The sequence below is a fragment of the Homo sapiens genome, chromosome 16 (assembly GCF_000001405.40).
Source record: "Homo sapiens chromosome 16, GRCh38.p14 Primary Assembly".
NCBI classification, from domain to species: Eukaryota; Metazoa; Chordata; class Mammalia; order Primates; family Hominidae; genus Homo; species Homo sapiens.
Genome location: NC_000016.10, coordinates 58,774,432 through 58,794,689, shown reverse-complemented (window position 1 = coordinate 58,794,689; position 20,258 = coordinate 58,774,432). Strand labels below are relative to the sequence as shown.

Below are 20,258 nucleotides of genomic sequence, written 5' to 3'. Positions count from 1 at the left end.
TAACTATGTTTTAGAGGAGATAGAGCCTGATGACCTCAAATGTATCTTTCAATTCTGATTTCACTGCTCTTTGTGTATACCAGGTTCTAATATTATTGATTTATTGTGGTAAATCACATCACCACTTTTTAGAATTCACTCTAGACATATTTCCTCTTAGCGACATTACGAGAACTTTTATTCTTGTTCTTCCAAAACTGGACTGTATCTAAACAACTTTAAGCAGGAGCCGTGTGCTCATGTGTAATCCATTCCCAAGAAAAGTGAGTCTTCTCTCAATAATGCCCTCCCGCAGGTTCTCACCATGATGTTCCAAACTTCTTTCTCTGGGTGACCTGGAATTCTTCCTGATGTTTATCACATGTGTGCCTGATCCTTTGAATTCAGTGGACTAAAAGATATTGAGATGGTAGTTCAGATAACAAAGCATGACCCCATAAATGTTATGCAGACCTTCCCAGCACCAAAGCCTATTAATGTAGAACAAAAGAGTCACCATTGGGTCACAGGTCAGGAACCAAGCCATGAAAGACAACATCAGATCTCAGTAAGAAAATCAGAATTCTTGCAGCCATAAAAAGGAATGAAATCATATTCTTTGCAGCAACATGGATGGAGGCAGAGACCATTATCCTAAGTAAACTAACTAAGAAACAGAGAACCAAACACCACATGCTCTCACTTATAAGAGGAAGCTAATGGGTACACATGGACATATGAATGAAAATAATAGACACTGAGGGTTCCAAAAGATGGGAGGGGGAGATGGGTGAGGGTTGAAAAATTACCTATCAGGTACAACGTTCACTATTTAGGTAACGGGTACACTAGAAGCCCAATCCCCACCAGTAGGCAATATACCTATGTAACAAACATGCACACGTACCCCCGAAACTAAAATAAAATAAAATTTTAAAAAATAAAGAAATGCTATTTTATGCTTATCTTTTTCTCTTTCAACCTTTTAGTGTTCTGTGTAATATAAAAAGTAAAATTAAGACTAATAAAAATTAAAACTCTAAAAAAGAAAGAAAATTAGAATATTATGAGCCACCTAAGACCAAGGCCAGCAGCAGTTGATGGGGAAGTAAGATGGGGAAGTAAGAAGCTGATGGGGAAGGAATCCAGGGAGGAAGGCGAGGCAGCAAAGGAAGAGACTTAGCAGGCATTGTGCTATTACAGGCATTGTTTCTCTTAGACCTTAGAACAAGCATATGTAGTAGGTAATCACATCCCTATTTTACATCCCTATGAAGCTACTGAGACCTAAAAGGTCAATTAACTATCCCAAAGCCAACCAGCTGATAAAGAATAGTCACATTTTACCCAGGTCTGCCTGATTCCAAGCCCAGGATTCTACCTACTGTGCCAACAGTTCTCAATCAGGGGTGATCTTGCCCCTCTTCCTACCTGGGGACATTTGGCAGTGTCTGAAGACATTTTTGGTTGTCAGAACTGGAAGTAGGAAGGGGTGCTACTGACATCCAGTAAGTGGAAGCCAGGGATGCTGCCAAACATCCAACAAAGGACAGCACCCCCACTACAAGGAATTACCCAGCACAAAATGCCAATAGTGCCAAACTTAAATAACCTTGCACTATGCAATGCATAGGAGATATGGAAGAAAATTTTCAAGTTTAAGCACTATTTTGCTTCAGTGGTGCTCTTTCCATAGTTCATAATCTTGGTCCTGGTGGCATGCCCTGGCCAGTAATAAAGACTGGGGTCCCCATGTATTTAATTTCTGCCCTTTAAGAAAGAGGAGGTTTGAGTGACACCCCAGTATTTTTTTAATATAAACCACAAGATGACTGTGTTGAACTGAAAGAGATATTTTGGAATGCCTGACCCCAGCTCAAAAGGCAATACAAAGAGCCCATAACCGATGCAGCAGGCAGCATGCAGCACTGAGCTCCTGGGGCAGGGCTGGCATGGGGATTGGAATTATGGCCCCATTATCCACAAAGTGAACATTTTTCTAACAATAACACAATGATTTCAGAAGCAATTTTAAAAACAAGAATCTTTCCCCCCAAACTCCAGAGCTTTTCTGATTTTTGTCAGTAACAAAAGAATTCAGCTTCCAAAAAGCAGGCTGCATCTCTGAATATTAAAACTCCCACCTTGGGAAATTTTGTAAGCCTTCAGACAACCTCTTTTAAAGTTAAAAATGAAAGTCACTCAACAGACGACAGTGCTCATGGGCCCCTTTTATCTATGGAAGAAAGACAGAAAGAAACACAGAGTGATAACTTAGGAGCAGAGACCAAATTACTGACCTTGAGTCACCTTCCACACCATGCCTGGCCCAAACAAGATAGGGAGTTAAAAGCTTCAACTAGTAGCAACAGCAAATGATGTAATGTGATATTTTTAAAACCCATCAAGGGAGAATAAAAAAAGCTAGATCGTATTATGCATAGAGCTCTTAGAGGTTAAAAAGAGCCTCAATTTGCCTTTAGCTAAGCCCTTTTTTCATGCTGAAATCAACCATTCCACTTTCCTCTCTGTCCAAAGAACAAGCAATTCTAGAACTAAAGAACTAGTCCACTGAAGCTTGGACTGACTGGATGAGTTTTATTTTTTATCTGCATGTGAAACCGAATGGGTTTTCTTTTTAGGGCTGCATGGGTGAACCCCTCATTATTCCCCCAGCTCTGTCACTCTGATTTTCCTTCTCTATGATGGTGATTATTATGCTACATTGATACCCATTTGTCCACATCTTCAACATGGACTCCTGTGTTCCTCCACCCTAGCTACATTTTTCACGCAACCCAACCATGAAACTTTCTGAATTGCCACCAAATGCAAGCATCAGGGGTCTCATGCCCAAAACTGCCATAGCAGGAGGCACCAAAACAGTTTTTGTCATTTTTCCCAAGGCACACAGATTGCTCAAATCTGCTTCTCTCTGCCTTGTTTTTCCCTAACTCATAACCATAAGCATTAACTGCCCATTCTCAGGCATTCGTGATATACCTGGCACTGTACTAGGTGTTTTACAAATACAGTTTTATTTAGTCCTCGCAGCAACTCATGAGATAAATATCATTACCTCTACATTTTAGATGAGAAATTCAAAACTAAAGAGTTTTAATAATTTATAAAAGATGACACAGAAAATAAGTGGCAGATTTAGTCCCAAGTCTCTGACCCCAAAAACCGTTTTTACTACACAGCATACAAGATTTGTGGAAGACATTTTAAAAAGTCAATAGTAGTTATTTCTAGAATATAAGGTGACGGCTAATTTTAGGTCTTTTTAAATTATATATATTTTTATATTTAAAACTGGGCACGCAGCTGGGTGCAGTGACTCATGCCTGTAATCCCAGTTGAGAGGTGACAGCGTGCTGGCAGTCCTCACAGCCTTCGCTTGCTCTCGGCGCCTCCTCTGCCTGGGCTCCCATTTTGGCAGCACTTGAGGAGCCCTTCAGCCCACCACTGCACTGTGGGAGCCCCTTTCTAGGCTGGCCAAGGCCAGAGCCGGCTCCCTCAGCTTGCAGGGAGGTGTGGAGGGAGAGGCGCGAGCGGGAACCGGGGCTGCACCCGGCGCTTCTGGGCCAGCTGGAGTTCCAGGTAGGCATGGGCTTGGTGGGCTCCACACTCGGAACAGCCGGCAGCGCAGCCGGCCCTGCCAGCCCTGCCGCCGCGGGCAATGAGGGGCTTAGCACCCAGGCCAGCGGCTGCGGAGGGTGTACTGGGTCCCCCAGCAGTGCCAGCCCACCGGCGCTACGCTCGATTTCTCACTAGGCCTTGGCTGCCTTCTCGCGGGGCAGGGCTCAGGACCTGCAGCCCGCCATGCCTAAGCCTCCCACCCCCTCCATGGGCTCCTGTGCAGCTGGAGCCTCCCAGATGAGCGCGGCCCCCTGCTCCACGGCACCCAGGCCCATCGACCACCAAAGGGCTGAGGAGTGCGGGCGCACGGCACAGGACTGGCAGGCCACTCCACCTGCAGCCCCGGTGTGGGATCCACTGGGTGAAGCCAGCTGGGCTCCTGAGTCTGGTGGAGAAGTGGAGAACCTTTATGTCTAGCTCAGGAATTGTAAATACACCAATCGGCACTATGTATCTAGCTCAAGGTTTGTAAACGCACCAATCAGTGCCCTGTCAAAATAGACCAGTCGGCTCTACCAATCAGCAGGATGTGGGTGGGGCCAGATAAGCGAATAAAAGCAGGCTGCTGGAGCCAGCAGTGGCAACCGGCCTGGGTCCCCTTCCACACTGTGGAAGCTTTGTTCTTTCACTCTTTGCAATAAATCTTGCTACTGCTCACTCTTTGGGTCCACACTGCCTTTATGAGCTGTTAACACTCACCGTGAAGGGCTGCAGCTTCACTCCTGAAGCCAACAAGACCACGAGCCCACCGGGAGGAAAGAACAACTCCAGACGCACCACCTTAAGAGCTGTAACACTCACCGCGAAGGTCTGCAGCTTCACTCCTGAGCCAGCAAGACCACGAACCCACCAGAAGGAAGAAACTCCAAACACATCTGAACATCAGAAGGAACAAACTCCAGACACGCTGCCTTTAAGAACTGTAACACTCACCGCAAGGGTCCGTGGCTTCATTCTCGAAGTCAGTGAGACCAAGAACCCACCGATTCCGGACACACCAGCACTTCGGGAGGCCGAGGTGGGCGGATCACCTGAGATCAGGAGTTCAAGACCAGCCTTGCCAACATGACGAAGCCTTGTCTCTACTAAAAATGCAAAAATTAGCCAGGCGTGGTGGTGCGTGCCTATAATCCCAGCTACTCAGGAGGCTGAGGCAGGAGTTCTTGAACCCAGGAGATGGAAGTTAGAGCAAGGCTCTCAAAAACAATAAAATTAAATTAAAATTAAATTGGACACATAAGATAGAATAACAGAGACATCTAAAACCACAAAAAAATAGACAAAGGCTGGGTGTGATGGCGCATGCTTATAATCCCAGCACTTTGGGAGGCTGAGACAAACAGATTGCCTGAGCCCAAGAGGAGTTTGAGACCAGCCTGGGAAACATGGCAAAACCTCATCTCTACAAATAATACAAAAAAAAAATAGCTGGGCATGGTGGTGCATGCCTGTAGTTCCAGCTACTCAGAAGGCTGGGGTGGGAGGATTGCTTAACCCTACGAGTTTGAGGCTGCAGTGAGCCATGATTGCTTAAGCCTGGGAGTTTGAGGTTACAGTGAGCAGAGATTACCCACTGCACTCCAGCCTGGGCAACAGAGTAAGACGCTGTCTTAAAAAAAAAAAAAAAAAAAAAAAAAGGTGGCTGTCCAGAAGCCGGCTGAGTTCAAGTCTCGGTTCCACCTTTTGCTTGCTGCAGAACCTTGTGTAAGTCACTCACAATCAGGCTCAAAAAAACAAAACAAAAAACCAGAACAAATATGTAAAACAAAATTTTCAAGATATACTGAACATTTAGGCAACAAAGGCTGTGAGCCCCTGCAGATGGGAAACAAATAAGATGAGCCAAAGGATTGCCCCACTGTACTCTCTTAAGAGAGTTTTCAGACCTCTGCACACAGAGGGGAAACCAGGCTGAGCCTTGCAGACTTGCTGAGTTGCGAAGACAAACCAACTGCCAAGTCCAATAAGAAAGTAGCTAGAGTTCACAGCACAAAGTAACAGAGAGGAGGGAAGTGCACAGAGACAGAACTCCAGAGATCTGCACAGGGTGCCCTACAAGTGTATAATGAGTACTGACTGATCCATGCATATATGTCAGGAAACTACCCAGGCCAGGGAAAGAACCATCCAAAAAGATTAAAGTATCCAATGTTCAAACAGGCCTTGAAATAGTGCCTATTCCCACCAGCAAGATTAGAAAACCACAGGACTCATAAGTCACTGGGTAGAGTACACAGTAGGGTTTTGCCTCAGTCATGGAAAATAATTATCCCTACACTGAGCTCTGCTCCAGTCCCATCTAATAATTCTTAAAAGAAATACCTGAAAGGATCAAACTACTTCCAAGTAACTTAAATGTGTCCCAGAACAAACCTCAAAAATATTTATAGAGGTACAAAAATATCCAGCACTCAGTGCTATAGTCTGAACGTTTGCGTTCCTCCAAAATTCATATGTTGGAATTTAATCCTCAGTGTGACTGTATTAAGAAGTGAGGCCTTTGGCCCTGCGCGGTGGCTCGCGCCTGTAATCCCAGCTCTTTAGGAGGCCGAGGTGGGTGTATCACGAGGTCAAGAGATTGAGACCATCCTGGCTAACATGGTAAAACCCCATCTCTATTAAAAATACAAAAATTAGCCAGGTGTAGAGGCACGCACCTGTAGTCCCTGCTACGTGGGAGGCTGAGGCAGGAGAATGGCTTGAACCTGGGAGGTGGAGGTTGCAGTGAGCCAAGATTATGCCACTGCACTCCAGCCTGGGTGACAGAGACTCTGTCTCAAAAAAAAAAAAAAAAAAAAAAAGAAGTGAGGCCTTTAGGAGGTGATCTAGGAATATTACCCTTGTAAAAGAGGCTCGAGGGATCCCCCTTGCCCCTTCCACCATGTGAGGACGCAGCAGCAAGCCACAGTCTTTGAAGGGGAGAGCAAGCCCTCACCAAACACTGAATCTGCTAGCACCTTAATCTTGGACTTCCCAGTATCCAGAACTGTAAGCAGTTAATTTCTGTTGTTTGTAAATTAGCCAGTCTAAGGTACTTTGTTATAGCTATCTGAGCAGGCTATGACTGAAATTGGTACTGAGAAGTGGAGTGCTACTGTAACAAATATCTTAAAATGTGGAAGCAGCTTTGAAATTGAGTAATGGGCAGAAGCTGGAAAAGTTCTGAAGTACATTGCCATGAAAGGAGTCTTAAGGGCAATTTGGTAAGGGCTCAGAAAAAGAAGAGAGCTGAAGAGAAAGCCTCAGTCTTCTTAGAGATTACCTAAGTGGTCACTATTAGAATGTTGGTAGAAATATAAACAGTAGAGGTCATTCCGATGAGGTCTCCCATGGAAATTAGGAACGTGTTATAGGAAACTGGAGGAAAGGTGATTCTTGTTATAAAGTTTCAATTAACTTGGCTTAATTGTGTTTGTGTCCTAACGTTTTGTGGAAAATAGAACTTTTGAGCAACAAAATAAGATATTTGGCAAAAGAAATCTGCACACTTTTGAGAGTGCAGAATGGTTTCTCTGGACTGCTTATAATAAACTGCAAGAGGAGAGACACAAATTAAAGATTAAACTAATAATCAAAAGAGAAACAGAACTTAAAGATATGGAAAATCCTCACCCTGCCCATGTTGTAAAGAATAAAAATGCGGCCAGGCATGGTGGCTCACGCCTGTAATCCCACCACTTTGGGAAGCCGAGACAGGTGGATCACTTGAGGACAGGAGTTTGAGACCAACCTGGCCAACATGGTGAAACCCCGTCTCTACTAGAAATGCAAAAATTAGCTGGGCATGGTGGCAGGCACCTGTAATCCCAGCCACTCGGGAGGCTGAGGCAGGGAATCACTTGAACATGGGAGGCAGAGGTTGCAGTGACCCAAGATCATGCCACTGCACTCCAGCCTGGGCAATAGAGCGAGACTCTGTCGGGAAAAAAAAAAAAAAAAGAATAAAAAAATGTATTCAAGAGAGAACACCAAGATCATGGCCAAGCAAACATTTAATAAGGTGATTAGTATGGATAGAAGGAAGCTAGATGCTATCTGTTAAGACAATGGAAGACTGACCTCAAAAGTGTTTTAGAGATCATGGGGGCTGCCACTGCCATCACAGGACCAGAATGCCAAGGCCTGAGGGACAGAATTATGTCAAAAAAGGGTCCTCAGGTATCGTGGGACCTCAGCACTCACTTCACTGTGCCACCTCAAGTTTCTGTTCCCTGTATTCTGGCACAGAGATGCTCAGTCATCCCAGATGTGGCTCCAGTGAGCCCAGGTGCAATGCAGGCTGCAATGACTTTCCCTCTGAAGGGTGCTGGTGTTAAACTTTAGCAGCACCCACATTGTGCTAATTCTGCAGGGGCACAGAGTGCAAGAACTATGGAGGTATGGCTACCTCCACCTAGATTTCAAAGGATATTCTGAAGGGCCTCAGGGCCCCAGCAGTGAACTGTCACAGGGGAGGAGCCACCACAGAGAGATCAATCAGAAATTAACAGAGCCACCCACGTGCAATGCAGTCTGGGAGAGCTGCAGGCATAACAATCCCACCCATGAGAACTGCAGCATGGTTTATGCCCAGCAAAGCCATGAGGCTGCCTTGGGGGCCCAACCCTTGCCCCAGTGTAAAGATTATCTTCAAGACTTAAGATTTGCCCTCCTGGGCCTTGGACTTACTTGGAACCAGTTATTCCTTTCTTCCTATTTTTCCCCTTTTGAAATGGGAATGTCTATTCCATGCCTGTCCTGCCATTTTATTTTGAAAGCACATAACATGACTGATTTCAAAGGTCTGCAATTGGAAAGCAATTTGCCTACCTTGAATCCCATCCATATTTGACTTAGATGATATTTACATGAAACTCTGGCCTTTAGACTTTTGAGTTGATGCTGAAAAAAGTGAAGAGTTTTGGGGCTACTGGGATGTAATGAATGTATCTTGCATGTGAAAAGGACATGAATTTTCAGGCCAGAAGCAGAATGCTATGGTCTGAATGTTTGTATTCCTCCAAAATTTATATGTTGGAACTTAATCCCCAAGGTGATTTTATTAAGAAGTGAGGATATTTAGCTAGACGGTCCCAAGATGGCCAAATAGGAACAGCTCCAGTCTACAGGTCCCAGCGTGAGCAACGCAGAAGATGGGTGATTTCTGCATTTCCAACTGAGGTACTGGGTTCATCTCACTGGGGCGTGTCAGACAGTGGGTGCAGGACAGTGGGTGCAGGCCACTGAGCGAGAGCTGAAGCAGGGCGAGGCATCGCCTCAGCCAGGAAGCGCAAGGGGTCAGGGAATTCCCTTTCCTAGCCAAGGGAAGCCATGACAGACGGCACTTGGAAAATCAGGTCACTCTCACTGTAATACTGCGCTCTTCCAAGGGTCTCAGCAAACAGCACACCAGGAGATTATATCCTGCACCTGGCTCAGAGGGTCCCACACCCACGGAGCCTCACTCATTGCTAGCACAGCAGTCTGAGATCTAACTGCAAGGCAGCAGTGAGGCTGGGGGAGGGGCGCCCACCATTGCTGAGGCTTGAGTAGGTAAACAAAGCAGCCCAGTGGAGCCCACCACAGCTCAAGGAGGTCTGCCTGCCTCTGTAGACTCCACCTCTGGGGGCAGGGCATAGCTGAACAAAAGGCAGCAGAAAACTCTGCAGATTTAAATGTCCCTGTCTGACAGCTTTGAAGAGAGTAGTCATTCTCCCAGCACAGACTCTGAGATCTGAGAACGGACAGACTGCCTCCTCAAGTGGGTCCCTGACCCCCGAGTAGCCTAACTGGGAGGCACCCCCCATAGGGGCAGACTGACACCTCACATAGCCGGGTACCCCTCTAAGGCGAAGCTCCGAGAGGAACGATCAGGCAGCAACATTTGCTGTTCAGCTATATTCGCTGTACTGCAGCCTCTGCTGCTGATACCCAGGGGAACAGGGTCTGGAGTGGACCTCCTGCAAACTCCAACAGACCTGCAGCTGAGGGTCCTGACTGTTAGAAGGAAAACTAACAAACAGGAAGGACATCCACACCAAAACCCCACCTGTACATCACCATCATCAAAGACCAAAGGTAGATAAAACCACAAAGATGGGGAAAAAACAGAGCAGAAAAGTTGAAAATTCTAAAAATCAGAGCATCTCTCCCCCTCCAAAGGAACGCAGCTCCTCACCAGCAAGTGAACAAAGCTGGACAGAGAATGACTTTGATCAGTTGCGAGAAGAAGGATTCAGATGATCAAACTTCTCCGAGCTAAAGGAGGAAGTTCAAACCCATCACAAACAAGCTAAAAACCTTGAAAAAAAAATTAGACAAATGGCTAACTAGAATAACCAGTGTAGAGAAGTCCTTAAATGACCTGATGGAGCTGAAAACCATGGCACCAGAACTACGTGATGAATGCACAAGCTTCAGTAACTGATTTGATCAACTGGAAGAAAGGGTATCAGTGATTGAAGATCTAATGAATGAAATGAAGCGAGAAGAGAAGTTTAGAGAAAAAAGAGTAAAAAGAAATGAACAAAGCCTCCAGGAAATATGGGACTATGTGAAAAGACCAAAATCTACCTCTGATTGGTGTACCTGAAAGTGATGGGGAGAATGGAACCAAGTTGGAAAACACTCTGCAGGATATTATCCAGGAGAACTTCCCCAATCTAGCAATGCAGGCCAACATTCATATTCAGGAAATACAGAGAATGCCACAAAGACACTCCTTGAGAAGAGCAACTCCAAGACACATAATTGTCAGATTCACCAAAGTTGAAATGAAGGAAAAAATGTTAAGGGCAGCCAGAGAGAAAGCTCGGGTTACCCACAAAGAGAAGCCCATCAGATTAACAGTGGATCTCTCAGCATAAACTCTACAAGCCAGAAGAGAGTGGGGGCCACTATTCAACATTCTTAAAAGAATTTCCAACCTAGAATTTCATATCCAGCCAAACTAAGCTTCATAAGTGAAGGAGAAATAAAATCCTTTACAGACAAGCAAATGCTGAGAGATTTTATCACCACCAGGCCTGCCTTACAAGAGCTCCTGAAGGAAGCACTAAACATGGAAAGGAACAACTGGTACCAGCCACTGCAAAAACATGCCAAAATGTAAAGACCATCGATGCTAGGAAGAAACTGCAGCAACTAATGAGCAAAATAACCAGCTAATATCACAATAACAGGATCAAATTCACACAGAACAATATTAACCTTGAAAGTAAATGGGCTAAATGCTCCAATTAAAAGACACAGACTGGCAAATTGGATAGAGTCAAGACCCATCAGTGTGCTGTATTCAGGAGACCAATCTCACATGCAGAGACACACATAGGCTCAAAATAAAGGGATGGAGGAAGATCTACCAAGCGAATGGAAAACAAAAAAAGGCTGGGGTTGCAATTCTAGTCTCTGATAAAACAAACTTTAAACCAACAAAGATCAAAAGAGACAAAGAAAGCCATTACATAACGGTAAAGGGATCAATTCAACAAGAACAGCTACCTTAAATATATATGCACTCAATACAGGAGCACTCAGATTCATAAAGCAAGTCCTTAGAGACCTACAAAGAGACTTAGACTCCCACAGAATAATAATGGGAGACTTTAACACTCCACTGTCGACATTAGATAGATCCACGAGACGGAACGTTAAGAAGGATACCCAGGAATTGAACTCAGCTCTGCGCCAAGTGGACCTAATAGACATCTACAGAACTCTCCACCCCAAATCAAGAGAATATACCTTCTTCTCAGCACCACATCGCACTTATTCCAAAATTGACCACACAGTTGGAAGTAAAGCACTCCTCAGCAAACGTAAAAGAACAGAAATTATAACAAACTGTCTCTCACACCACAGTGCAATCAAACTGGAACTCAGGATTAAGAAACTCACTCAAAACCGCTCAACTACATGGAAACTGAACAATCTGCTCCTGAATGACTACTGGGTACATAACGAAATGAAGGCAGAAATAAAGATATTCTTTGAAACCAACGAGAACAAAGACACAACATACCAGAATCTCTGGGACACATTTAAAGCAGTGTGTAGAGGGAAATTTATAGCACTAAATGCCCACAAGAGAAAGCAGGAAAGATCTAAAATTGACACCCTAACATCACAATTAAAAGAACTAGAGAAGCAAGAGCAAACACATTCAAAAGCTAGCAGAAGGCAAGAAATAACTAAGATCAGAGCAGAACTGAAGGAGATAGAGACACAAAAAAACCTTCAAAAAATCAATGAATTCAGGAGCTGGTACTTGAAAAGATCAACAAAATTGATAGACTGCTGGCAAGACTAATAAAGAAGAAAAGAGAGAAGAATCAAAAAGATGCAATAAAAAATGATAAAGGGGATATCACCAACGATCCCACAGACATACAAACTACCATCAGAGAATACTATAAACACCTCTATGAAAATAAACTAGAAAATCTAGAAGAAATGGATAAATTCCTGGACACATACACCCTCCCAAGACTAAACCAGGAAGAAGTTGAATCCCTGAATAGACCAATAACAGGCTCTGAAATTGAGGCAACAATTAATAGCCTACCAACCAAAAAATGTCCAGGACCAGATGGATTCACAGCCGAATTCTACCAGAGGTACAAGGAGGAGCTGGTACCATTCCTTCTGAAACTATTCTAATCAACAGAAAAAGAGGGAATCCTCCCAAACTCATTTTATGAGGCCAACGTCATCCTGATACCAAAGCCTGGCAGAGACACAACAAAAAAAAAAGAATTTTGGACCAATACCCCTGATGAACATCAATGCAAAAATCCTCAATAAAATACCGGCAAACCAAATCCAGCAGCACATCAAAAAGGTTATCCGCCATGATCAAGTGGGCTTCATCCCTGGGATGCAAGGCTGGTTCAACATACGAAAATCAATAAACGTAATCCATCATATAAACAGAACCAAAGACAAAAACCACACGATTATCTCAATAGATGCAGAAAAGGCCTTTGACAAAATTCAACAGCCCTTCATGCTAAAAACTCTCAATAAATTAGGTATTGATGGGACGTATCTCAAAATAATAAGAGCTACTTATGACAAACCCACAGCCAATATCACAGTGAATGCGCAGAAACTGGAAGCATTCCCTTTGAAAACTGGCACAAGACAGGGATGCCCTCTCTCACCACTCCTATTCAACATAGTGTTGGAAGTTCTGGCCAGGGCAATCATGCAGGAGAAAGAAATAAAGGGTATTCAATTAGGAAAAGAGGAAGTCAAATTGTCCCTGTTTGCAGATGACATGATTGTGCATTTAGAAAACCCTATGGTCTCAGCCCAAAATCTCCTTAAGCTGATAAGCAACTTCAGCAAAGTCTCAGGATACAAAATCAATGTGAAAAATCACAAGCATTCTTATGCACCAATAACAGACTAACAGAGAGCCAAATCATGAGTGAAATCCCATTCACAATTGCTTCAAAGAGAATAAAATACCTAGGAATCCAACTTACAAGGGACATGAAAGACCTCTTCAAGGAGAACTGCAAACCACTACTCAATGAAATAAAAGAGGACACAAACAAATGGAAGAACATTCCACGCTCGTGGATAGGAAGAATCAATATCGTGAAAATGGCCATACTGCCCAAGGTAATTTATAGATTCAATGCCATCCCCATTCAAGCTACCAGGACTTTCTTCACAGAATTGGAAAAAACTACTTTGAAGTTCATATGGAACCAAAAAAGAGCCTGCATTGCCAAGTCAATCCTAGGCCAAAAGAACAAAGCTGGAGGCATCATGCTACCTGACTTCAAACTATACTACAAGGCTACAGTAACCTAAACAGCATGGTACTGGTACCAAAACAGAGATATAGACCAATGGAACAGAACAGAGCCCTCAGAAATAATATCACACGTCTACAACCATCTGATGTTTGACAAACCTGACAAAAACAAGAAATGGGGAAAGGATTCCCTGTTTAATAAATGGTGCTGGGAAAACTGGCTAGCCATATGTAGAAAGCTGAAACTGGATCCCTTCCTTACACCTTATACAAAAATTAATTCAAGATGGATTAAAGACTTAAATGTTAGGCCTAAAACTATAAAAACCCTAGAAGAAAACCTAGGCAATACCATTCAGGAGACAGGCATGGGCAAGGACTTCATGTCTAAAACACCAAAAGCAATGGCAACAAAAGCCAAAATTGACAAATGGGATCTAATTAAACTAAAGAGCTTCTACACAGCAAAAGAAACTACCATCAGAGTGAACAGACAACCTACAGAATGGGAGAAAATTTTTGCAATCTACTCATCTGACAAAGGGCTAATATCCAGAGTCTACAATGAACTCAAACAAATTTACAAGAAAAAAAGAAACAACCCTATCAAAAAGTGGGCAAAGGATATGAACAGACATTTCTCAAAAGAAGACATTTATGCAGCCAACAGACACATGAAAAAATGCTCATCATCACTGGTCATCAGAGAAATGCAAATCAAAACCACAATGAGATACCATCTCACACCAGTTAGAATGGCAATCATTAAAAAGTCAGGAAACAACAGGTGCTGGAGAGGATGTGGAGAAATAGGAATGCTTTTACACTGTTGGTGGGACTGTAAACTAGTTCAACCATTGTGGAAGTCAGTGTGGCAATTCCTCAAGGATCTAAAACTAGAAATACCATTTGACCCAGCCATCCCATTAATGGGTATATACTCAAAGGATTATAAATCATGCTGCTATAAAGACACACGCACACATATGTTTATTGCGGCATTATTCACAATAGCAAAGACTTGGAACCAACCCAAATGTCATCAATGATAGACTGGATAAAGAAAATGTGGCACATATACACCATGGAATACTATGCAGCCATAAAAAAGGATGAGTTCATGTCCTGTATAGGGACATGGATGAAGCTAGAAACCATCATTCTCAGCAAACTATCACAAGGACAAAAAACCAAACACCACATGTTCTCACTCACAGGTGGGAATTGAACAATGAGAACACTTGGACACAGGAAGGGGAACATCACACACCAGGGCCTGTCATGGCGTGGGGGCAGGGATAGCATTAGGAGATATACCTAATGTAAATGACCAGTTAATGGGTGCAGCACACCAACATGGCACATGTATACATATGTAACAAACCTGCACGTTGTGCACATGTACCCTAGAACTTAAAGTATAATAAAAAATAAAATAAAATAAATAAATAAATAAAAAGAAGGGAGGCCAGCCCGGTGTGGTGGCTCATGCCTGTAATTCCGGCACTTTGGGAGGCCAAGGCAGGCAGATCATGAGGTCAGGAGATCAAGACCATCCTGGCTAACATGGTGAAACCCCATCTCTACTAAAAATACAAAAAAATTAGCCAGGCCTGGTGGCACACACCTGTAGTCCCAGCTTCTCAGGAGGCTGAGGCAGGAGAATCACTTGAACCCAGCAGACAGAGGTTGCAGTGAGCTGAGATTGCACCACTGCACTCCAGCCTGGGTGATGGGGCGAGACTCCATCCCAAAAAAAAAAAAAAAAAAGAAGTGAGGCCTTTAGGAAGTGACTTAGGAATAGTCACTAAGAGGCTTGAGGGAACTCCCTTGACCCTTTCACCATGTGAGAACACAACAAGGCACTATCTTTGAAGTGGAGAGCAAGCCCTCACCAAACTCTAAATCTGCTAGCACCTTAATCTTGGACTTCCCAGCCTCCAGAACTGTGAGCAACAAATTTCTGTTGCTTGTAAATTACTCAGTCTAAGGTATTTTGTTACAGAAGCCTAAATGAACTAAGATATATAATAAAGTAAAATTCACAATATCTGGCATCCAATCAGAAATTAACAGAAACACAAAGAAGTTTAAAAAAAAAATACAAACATAATGAGGAGAAAAAGCAATCAATCAAAACTGACCAAGAATTGAGACAGATGTTTGAATTTTGCAGGCAAAAACATTCAAATTATTATTATACCTTCATTTCACATGTTTAAAATTTGAAGTACAAGAATAAAAGATATAAAAAGACTCAAATCTAACTTCTAGAGATGAAAAAATACAATGTATCACATGGAAAATATATTGGATGGGAGTAATGGCAGATTAGACATTGCAAAGAAAAGATCAGTGAATTAAAAAGATAGGAATAGAAACTATTCAAAATGAAACACTGAGAGACAAAAGAATCAAATAAAATTAAAAGATGGTAGTGTGTGCCTGTAGTCCTAGCTACTCAGGAGGCTGAGGCGGATGGATCACTACAGCCCAGGAGGTCAATGCAGTGAGCTATGATCGTGCCACTGCACTCCAGCCTGGGCAACAGAGCAAGATCCTGTCTCTAAAAAATGAATAAATAATAAAGTGTGAGGTGAGAGTGACCAGAATGAAAAATGAGCTGAACATTGTGTATGATAAAAAAAAAAGACTGTTTTACCTCACAGATGAATTTATTAGTTTCTTGACCCATGAAATGGTAAATATCATGCATGAAGAACCCAGCATTAGCCAGACATATAAAGTCTTTGAACCTTGGGAAAGTGACTTATCTTCTGAGTCTTAAGTTCACCAAGTGTAAAATAAGAACTTTTTTTTTTTTTTTTTTTTGAGACAGAGTCTGGCTCTGTTGCCCAGGCTGGAATGCAGTGCAATCTCGGCTCACTGCAAGCTCCACCTCCCAGGTCCACGCCATTCTCCTGCCTCAGCCTCCCGAGTAGCTGGGACTACAGGCACCTGCCACCACGCCTGGCTACTTTTTTGTATTTTTGGTAGAGACGGGGTTTCACCATGTTAGCCAGGATGGTCTCGATCTCCTGACCTCGTGATCCACCCGCCTCGGCCTCCCAAAGTGCTGGGATTACAGGTGTGAGCCACCGCGCCTGGCCAAAATAAGAATTTCTTTACACAAAATTTCTTCGGCCTTCAGATTCATACCTTCAGCTACTTGAGGGCATTCCCATTTAAATGACCCATAAGCCCCAAAAACTCAGCATGTCTAAACCATGTTCTGCCCTCTACAAACTTATACACTTATACACAGAATCTAAAATAGCCAGACTCATAGAAGCACAGAGTAGGATGGTGATTGCCAGGGGCTGGGAAGAGATGGGAATGGAGTGATGTTGGTCAAAGGGTACAGAAATGGTGACTATGTAGAAATGATTGATATGTTAATTACTGGAATGTGATGATCGTCTCACATTGTCTATCAAAACATCACGTTGTGTACCTTAAATATATACAATTTTTTGTTTCTAGGCAGTTAATGATGATTGACAACAGCAAAAACCAGTGTAATATATACAAAATTATTTTATGTCAGGAGAAAATGTATCATATTGGCAAGAGAACACGTCCTGCCAACCCCTAAGAGGCTGGCATTGTACATCCACCCTGTGACAGGCCCCACTGGGACTGTGGTGAACATGCCTGTACCTCAGTACAAAGCCCCCTTTCCCTGAGAAATGTACAGAGGGAGAATGAAGAGAGTGTACCCAAAAGGAAGAGAGAGAGGCTGGGGCCCTGTGCCCCAAGCTCAGAATTTCACAGGCATGACCAGCCAGAACTGGGCTGCTTTTGGTCACAGTGCTTGTCAAAGCTCAGCTGCACCGAAGCCTCCATGGCCTGGAGCTTGGCAGTGCTGTTCCCATACAAGCGCTTCATCTCAGCCTGGCACCGCTTGCTGGGCCGCTCAGTCGGGGGCTCCACCCACCAGTGGGTGTTGTAGCAAAGGTCGTGGTCGGCATTCACATAGCTGTCCAAGCATTCTGCATCCAGCTGCTGCCGCCACCCTTGTTCTTCTCTGTGCCTCCCGGTTTCTGCAAAGTACTGGCAGAGATCCTCAGTGATTTCCATATTGCTCAGGTCACATTCTACCTCTGCATCTACCCCTCCTCTTTAAACAAAGCTTGGTCTTCTCTCGTGGATGCCTGGATCCCAGTGCTGTCATGTGGATGCTGCCCAGACCCTCTGAAATGTGAAGAACTGCAGGTGGAGTCCTGCCAGGCCACATGATGGTCACAGAAGGACTGAGGATATCCAGCCTGTCTGTTGTAAGAGCTTTGGAAAAGAAGTGCAGAAAGGAAGTGCCGGCTGGGTGCGGTGGCTCACGCCTGTAATCCCAGCACTTTGGGAGGCCAAGGCAGGCAGATCACATCAGGAGTTCGAGACCAGCCTGGCCAACACGGTAAAACCCCGTCTCTACTAAAAATACAAAAAAGTAGCCGGGTGTGGTGGCGGGCGCCTGTAATTCCAGCTACACAGGAGGCTGAGGCAGGAGAATCACTTGAAACCGGGAGGTGGAGGTTACAGTGAGCCGAGGTTGTGTCACTGCACTCCAGCGTGGGCAACAACAGCGAGACTCTGTCTTTAAAAAAAAATAAAATAAAAGGGAAGCGCCACAGGCGACTGACACAGGATTCCACGGCCTTCCTGTAGGCATTCTGATGGCTTTGCCATCAAGCCATTGCTTGATGATAATGTTGCCAGTATCTTGCATACGCCAGATGAGAATACCAAGGCCTGGAAGCTTTCGACGTTGATGCCTTCACCACTGCCATCTCTGATTGTGAAAGTCCAAATAGGTACTGAAACTCATGGGCGCGCAGCTTGCAGATCCCGGGCAGTGGGCGAGTAGGGGCCTAGTTTTCATTGGAGAGACAGAGGTGGGGGGAGTGGGGAGAAGGTGGCTGTTGCTGGGGTGACTGGAAGCTTGCTAATATACACAGTTTTTTAAATTCTTTTTTTATTTTAATTTTTTAGTTCTAGGGTACATGTGCAGGATGTGCAGGTTTGTTACATAGGTAATCGTATGACAGTGGTTTGCTGCACCTATCAGCCATCACCTAGGTATTAAGCCCAGCATGCATTAGCTACTTTTCCTAATACTCTCCCTCCCCCTACCCTACCCCCTGATAGGCCCCAGTGTGTGTTGTTACCCAATTTTTTTTTTGTTTGAGACGGAGTCTCACTCTGTTGCCCAGGCTAGAATGCAGTGGTGCCATCTCCGCTCACTGCAACCTCTGCCTCCCGGGTTCAAGTGATTCTCCTGCCTCAGCCTCCCGAGTAGCTGGGACTACAGGTGCATGCCATCACGCCTGGCTAATTTTTGTATTTTTAGTAGAGATGGGGTTTCACCGTGTTAGCCAGGATGGTCTTGATCTCCTGACCTCATGATCTGCCCACCTCGGCCTCCCAAAGTACTGGGATTACAGGCATGAGCCACTGCGCCCAGCCTGTTTCCCAATTTTTATATGTTCAAAAAACTAAGTTGTCACAAATGAAGAATTTAAAAGACAAAAAAAAGTTAAAAATAATTGTTAAAACTGACCCAAAAAGGAGTGTTATGCAATTATTAAAAATAAGCCTGCCGGGGTAGTGGCTCACCCCTGTAATCCCAACACTTTGGGAGGCGGCCAAGGCAGGTGGATCGTTTGAGGCCAGGAGTTCCAGACCACTCTGGGCAACAAGGTGAAACCCCATCTCTACAAAAAATACAAAATTTATCCAGGCATGGTGGCATGCTCCTGCAGTCCCAGCTACTAGGGAGGCTGAGATGGGAGGTTTACTTGAGCCCAGTAGGTAGAGGCTGCAGTGAGCCATGATTACGCCACTGTACTCTAGCCCAGGCAACAAAGCGAGACCCTGTCTCAAAAAGAAAGAAAAGAAAGAAAAAAGAAAAGAAAAGAAAGGAAAGGAAAAGAGGGAGGGAGGGAGGGAAGGGAGGAAGGAAGGCAAGAAAGAAGACTACAAAATATCTAATGACTTAGAGTGATGGCCCAAAGAATCACTGTATACCCACCCCCCCCCCCCACACACACACACACAATTAAGGGAAAGTAAAGTGAGAGAGAGGGAGGGAGGGAGAGAACAATAGAAAGAAATCCCAAACTGTTTTAAATAGTTTCCTAAAGGATGTTGGAAATGGAGTTTTTCTTTTTGCTTATCAGTGCTGGCTAAATTTTTTATAATGAATATTAAACAAATAAGAAAGTTATTTTTTAATTACAGGAATTCACTAAGGAAAAGATTCCTTTGACAAAAATATAAGCAACTTCTTGGTTTCAAGACCAAGAGAAGCAGCATGCAGGAGTGCTAGGATGCAGACTCAGAGCCACTCTACTTGAGTCTGAACTTGTGCTCCAGCCACTTCTTTTCATGAAATCATAGACCATGGCTGGGCCCGGTGGCTCATGCCTGTAATCCCAGCACTTTGGGAGGCCAAAGTGGGTGCATCGCTTGAGCTCAGGAGTTTGAGACCAATCTGGGCAACATGGTGAAACCCCGTCTCTACTAAAAATACAAAAATTAGCCAGGTGTGGTGGCACCTGCTACCAGGTGTGGGAATTGGGAATTGTCCAGCTACTCAGGAGGCTGAGGTGGGAGGCTCATTTGGGCCCAAACTCTGGTAAAACACCAAATTTCCCACTTGTTTGTTTGTTTGTTTGTTGTTGTTGAGATGGAGTTTTGCTCTTGCTGCCCACGCTGGAGTGCAATGGCGCGATCTTGGCTCACCTCAACCTCCACCTCCCGGGTTCAAGCAATTCTCCTGCCTCAGCCTCCTGAGTAGCTGCGATTACAGGCACATGCCACCACACCCAGCTAATTTTGTATTTTAGTAGAAATGGGGTTTCTCCATGTTGGTCAGGCTGTTCTCGAACTCCTGACC

The 20,258-nt window shown here is 44.2% G+C and overlaps 1 long non-coding RNA gene and 1 pseudogene across 2 annotated transcripts in view; both read right to left on the bottom strand.

Annotated features, from left to right (window-relative positions):
- Positions 1-20,258, bottom strand: part of LOC107984867 (uncharacterized) — a 114,037-nt gene that overhangs the window by 69,017 nt on the left and 24,762 nt on the right. The window lies entirely within an intron of this gene.
- Positions 16,845-18,296, bottom strand: GEMIN8P2 (gem nuclear organelle associated protein 8 pseudogene 2; annotated as a pseudogene).